Genomic DNA, 5981 nt, shown 5'->3' on the forward strand with positions numbered 1-5981 from the left:
TAATGAAGATTTCTTTGCTGTCAGACAGATTTAGGTTTGAATTCCAGTTCTACTATTTCTTGATCACCCTGGATAAACTATGTAACCATCTTTTTCTCATCTGTAAAATGAAGATAATAGTGAATTTTTCCTAAAGTTATGGTAAAACTAAAATACAAACATGTATTAAAATAATTTGGCATAATGATTGGCAAATTAAGGCACAAAAATAATAAAGAGCATTGTAAATATTCTTGTACCTTTTTTGACAATTTTTTAAAAATTGGTAGCAACCGAGGCAACATATTTATTTCTTGAAGAATTTACAGTTGACCTTGAGTGAGTTATGTAATCTCTTTGACCCTTGATTTTGTTATGTATAGAATGGAAAAAGTAGTGCTGCCCAGAATATTGTGGGAATAAAATAAGTCATGAAAGAGGTCCAAGAATAATGCCTGCCCAAAATAGAGGTTGCTTTATAAGGTAGTTGTGAATGTAATTTACCACACTTAACAAAAACATTATTTACATTTAACTATTTGAAGGTATAAATATTTACCCATTCTTTAAAATAATCAAATGAACATTGTTGTTCAGAGTTTTCTCTGTTGTTTTAGGGAACAATGGAGTAAGAGAATAAGCAGAGGATTATGAGAAGTGTTGGAAGATAGCTCTGAGTAGAGTGATGCTGAGCTTAATCTACTTTCCATGATGAGGTCATTTGCACAATAGAGAAAGCATCCATTTGTTTGTAAAGTGATCAGATTGTAAGCACCAGGCATTGTTTGTTGAAATATTTCCTTTCACTTGTAGATCTCCAGTCTTTTCTACGCAGCTTGACAAGTGAAGTGGAATGCCAACAATCTCCTCTCAACAAGCTCAGAAGATAAAGCAGAGAAGAAAAGAATGTACTTAAAGACGTGGTTCAGGACTTCACACAAATGACACCCACTTAGAAAACACAAACAAACTTTAGCCTTAGCAGAGTCAGGACCAGCCTGAGATCTTTCTGCAGTGAAATTGGGATCGATCTCAGGTTGAAGCCTAGTATATTAATCATGATCGGTTGCCTCAATTCACCTAGAAACATACATAAGTTATCTGCTAATGGCTCTACCTAGGTAATTGTTCACAGATCTTCAAATAGTTTTCCAAGAGCACCAAGTACATCAAAACCTAAAGTGTGTAAGCATGCAATAGAAAAAGGGTAATCAGTAAGATTGTTAGATGTTACTTACACTTACTTGGTATAAAATTGTGATGGCTTCCCACGAACTTCTATGCTGATACTGGCATTGGAAAACAGCTAGATAACTTTTTCAGCCACTAAATTCTGATAATCATTGCCTGCCATTATCCAAATCCTTATCTTCTTGGCCTTTGCTCTCCCTTTCCCTGTATTAGGCAAGCGAAGAGATTGAAGACAGCAAAGTGCATTGGAAAGAATCCACAAATGCCTTGTGGCCTGGGACATCTCACAAAAAGCTAATTTGAAAAATGAGCGTAATTCTTACTTCATAAGAATTAATGGAGGCCGGGTGCAGTGGCTCATGCCTGTAATCCCAGTACTTTGGGAGGCTGAAGTGTGTGGCTCACCTGGGGTCAGGAGTTCAAGACTAGCTTGGCCAACATGGTGAAACTCTGTCTCTACTAAAAATACAAAAATTAGCCAGTTGTGGCGGCAGGCATCTGTAATCTCAGCTACTCAGGAGACTGAGGCAGGAGAATTGCTTGAACCCAGAAGACGGAGATTGCAGTGAGCCGAGATCATGCTACTGTACTCCAGCTGCCTGGGTGACAGAGCGAGACCCCGTCTCAAAAAAAAAAAAAAAAAAAAAAAAAGAGAATTCATTGAGTTAGTTCATGTAAAGTTCTTGGAGTAAGACCTAGCACATGACAGGTGCTATTAAAATTACAGAATCACATATCCCAGTTTGTCTAAGCTCGTCTCAATTTATGCTTGTTTTCCAGCTTCTCAGTTAGTTTGGTATTTGTCATTCTCAAGGGGTCCTGATTTGAATGATTGATAATTTATGTGCTCAACCTGTGTGAATGTGGTAAAGCTACTATTATTGTTGTTATTAATAAATTGTAGGGCCAGGCGTGGTAGCTCACGTCTGTAATCCCAGCACGTTAGGAGGCTGAGGAGGATGGGTCACCTGAGGTCAGGAGTTTGAGACCAGCCTGGCCAACATGGCCAAACCCTGTCACTACTAAAAATACAAAACTTAGCTGGGCATTGTGGTGGGTGCCTGTAATCCCAGCTACTCGGGAGGCTGAGGCAGGAGAATCACTTGAACCCAGGAGGCAGACGGAGGTTGCAGTGAGCTGAGATCACGCCACTGCACTCCAGCCTGGGCGACAAGAGTGAAACTCTGTCTCAAAAATAAATAAATACATACAGAAATAGTAAACATGTATGTCTAGTAGTTTTGTGGAATCTTGCTTATAAATGCACATTACATGTTGAGCTATTAATACGTGCTACCATGTCCTAGAGTCAGAAAAGTGTAATAAAAAAGCTAATTCTTGGACATTTACTTGCTGTGTGATTTGATAAAAGTTACCTACCCTTTCTCAAACCCAAATCCTGTGCAGTAAAGCCAGATAATATATAGCCAGTGACCTATTGGTTGTAAGAATCTAGTGATATATAATGTATGTGAAAATGTTTTGTAATTTATAGCACTTGATATAAATGAAACAAATTCTTAAACTAAAATTCAACTTAAGGTATTATGTTTCGATAAATACCATATTTACCTGGCTTAATACTTCCACAAATATTCTATGTACCTAATGTTTCAGATATATTACTGGATTTACAATATTCATTTAGAAAAAAAGCATCACACGATGCAGTGGTGCAAGCCTGTAGTCAGTCCCAGCTACTTGGAAGGCTGAAGTGGAAGGATCACTTGAGCCTAGGAGCTCAAGGTCAGCTAGGCAAGATAGTAACTTCTGTCTCAAATAAATAAATTAAATAAATAAGCATCAAGGGGTCAAAATGAACCGCTTGCCCAACCATGCACTAAGAACTCTAGAACTCAGTTCTTCCTGCTTCTTGACTGGCTTTGGGCACTTGAATAGACACAATAGAATTAGTAGTTAGGTGCATGGGCTTAAGTCTTTGCTTTGCCATTAGTGAGTTGAGTAGCGTTAAGCAGGTTATTTAATAATTCTAAGATCTCAATGGGGTAAAACTATTATTACACAAAATTATTATTCTGAGACATAAATGAGATCATGATTATACAAGTCTTAGCACACAAGCCTTAGCACAGTGACCTTGATATGTCTGACACATAGTAAAATATGAATAAATGTTAGCTATTGTGTATAATTTTTTTGAACTTCTTAGCAAAGCTCTGAGGTGAGCTCAATATCTCTATTAGACTGTATTTTTATCATTGTGGAGCAGGAAGAGGTCAACAAACAGATGACTAGCTCCTGACAGTAAGAAAATTCTAAATGGTATCTTGTGGTTGGCAGGAAGACAGCTGTTGACCCAGGTCAGCAAGTATTTATTAAGTAATTGGTATATGCAAAACACGCTAAAAATACTAGAATATAAGAATATCACTAAAAGCTAATAGTTATAAGCAGCTTATAATAGCCGTTTGGTAAATGACACAGGTAAAAAGGCAGAATATAGAAAGTGGTATAAGAAAGGTATAATAATAACATTGGGGCTCAGTGAAGGTTATAACACCGCGTTGGGGTTAGAATTTTAAAGTTCTCATGGAAACAGGGCTGTAGATGGTGATATTTTAGATTGGTTCTGAGGGTTTGGATAGGCAGAAGGGAAGGCAAGAACATTCTAGGCAGAACTGAAGGAAATAAATAAGGACTCATTCCCAAACATTTAGCTTTTGGAGTTAAAGTGCATACATGGGCTACTGGTGTGAAACTTAAAAACAAGACAATAGACTTTTTAAATCTCTGTATCAACCCCACTCATGATAATCTACAAAATAACTACTATTCACTCACTGACTTCAACGTATTATTTTCAGCTGTGTTGGATGTTTTAGAGGTGAAAGGCATTTGGTCTGTACTGAACCTTTGAAAACCATTTCAAGTGAAACAACCTGGGTTTTTATATTATATATGTTTTATGAATGTGAACCCATATATAATCATGATCATTTACTGCTGATAAATTATATAATAATATGACTGTTATAGAGCAAATCAGATATGAGCCTAAGTCATACCAACAAAACTAGATTGAATTATTCTCCAATATAGTATCATTCATTCTTTTACTTAAAAAACAACAAACATTTTAAACTATGTGCCAAGAACCATGAATAAGGAATTAAAAAGTAAAAGTCTATATATATTGTTAATCTATTATAAACAACAGGAAATAAAATTGGTTCATAATTCCCATAAGTATATTCTGTGAACATCAAAGTCTATTATAGCTGTTATTTTCACTTCATTTGAACGGATGTGGTCTTTTACAAATTGATTTTTCTCCTTATTTTTTTTTTATTTCTGAAAATGAGATTTTCTGCTTACTTGTTTCAGTGTCTTGAACCAAGGCACTACAACTTACCACTATTGAAAAATCTGCATAAATGTACATTGAGTAAAATATACTTACTACATTTATCTAAGGCCTAAATTTAGCTTTCTAGTACAAATTTAGCCTGCCAATTGTTGAAAATAATATTTTTAATCCTGATTGTAAAGATACACATGTACTCTCTATAGGAGATTAAACAAATCTTCTATAGAGTTGATAAAATAAATCCTGTTCCTTCATTTTTATATGAGAAAGAAATATAACTAGGATTATTACAACATCTCCTACAACTCTCAGAATCTTCACCACCTTATTAACCTGGTGTTTGGATTCTCTTTGTTGTATCTTTTTTTAAGAAAAAAATTCTTAAATTAAAAATGGAATCGCTCAGACTGCATTCCTTCCCGAAGAGCAAAGCTGGCTTCACACTAAAGAGAGAACACTGCACCTCCTCCTTCTGGCTCCTAGTGCTCTACAAAGTTGGAGAAACTTTTCTAGTAATGAACCATAGCAATGATGCTGGGAAGTATAGTCTTTGATATATCTTTTAAAGCATAGATTTTTCACTGAATCAGCAATCACTCTTGGAAAATAGATGTAGACCAAAGATACATATATATATATTTGAGGTAGGAGCTTGCTCTGTCACCCAGGTCAGAATATAGTGGTACAATCATGGCTCACTGCAGCTTCAACCTCCCTTGCTCAAGTGATCCTCTCACCTCAGCATCCCAAGTAGCTGGGACTACAGGCATATGCCACCATACCTGGCTATATATACATATATATTTTTTTTAAATTTTTTTGTAGAGATGAGGTCTTGCTCTGTTACCCAGTCTGGTCTCAAACTCCTGGCCTCAAGTGATCCTCTGGCCTTCGCTTCTCAAAGTGCTGGGATTGCAGGCATGAGATGCTGCGCCCAGCCTATAGTATTCAAAATTGTCCATCTGCAGCATTCCTTCAAGCAGCTTACACACAAAATCAAATCAATTATTTTGGTGATCAACCTAATAAAAATAGCACCATAATTTTAAAAAGAAGAATTGTTTTGGCTGAATTAGAAGCCTCCATATTAATCCAACCTCTATGCATGTCATAATGGGCCTGATTTGGGTGCACTTTCGTATCTAAAGCATGATATTTAAAAAGGGCATATAAAATGGGAATGTTCATTTGGAGACAGGCTAAATTTTTTCATGGCAACAGGCAAAAAAAAACCATGAAATACAAGATAGTTCTGGAGTTCTAGCCCTCAAGCTGAACAACTGTGGGAGAAAGACTTTCAACTTCCTATAGAGCAGTTAACAGAAGTGCTTCTTCATCAATATCTTGCATATGTGTTGCTTCATAAATGCAAGTAATATTATCAGTAATATCAACAGAAATAATTTGATATTTTAAATTCATAATGAAATCATCATTTTAAAGGAAAGAAGGGAAAATTTGAGTGTCGGCCTTGAGCTTCTTT

At 36.0% G+C, this 5981-nt stretch overlaps 1 pseudogene, besides 2 other annotated features; it reads right to left on the minus strand.

Moving 5' to 3' along the window:
* Positions 227 to 862: an enhancer, noted in NCBI's record as "OCT4-NANOG hESC enhancer chr6:114097845-114098480 (GRCh37/hg19 assembly coordinates)". NCBI's record gives its function as "activates a minimal SCP1, AML or CMV promoter by ChIP-STARR-seq in naive and primed H9 embryonic stem cells {active_cell/tissue: H9 hESC(naive and primed)}" and the evidence as "EXISTENCE:reporter gene assay evidence [ECO:0000049][PMID:30033119]".
* Positions 863 to 1496: an enhancer, noted in NCBI's record as "OCT4-NANOG hESC enhancer chr6:114098481-114099114 (GRCh37/hg19 assembly coordinates)". NCBI's record gives its function as "activates a minimal SCP1, AML or CMV promoter by ChIP-STARR-seq in primed H9 embryonic stem cells {active_cell/tissue: H9 hESC(primed)}" and the evidence as "EXISTENCE:reporter gene assay evidence [ECO:0000049][PMID:30033119]".
* LOC124901510 (uncharacterized) lies at positions 4896 to 5049 on the minus strand (annotated as a pseudogene).
* Between the last annotated feature and the right edge of the window lie 932 nt (positions 5050 to 5981).

Source organism: Homo sapiens, chromosome 6 (assembly GCF_000001405.40).
Source record: "Homo sapiens chromosome 6, GRCh38.p14 Primary Assembly".
NCBI classification, from domain to species: domain Eukaryota; kingdom Metazoa; phylum Chordata; class Mammalia; order Primates; family Hominidae; genus Homo; species Homo sapiens.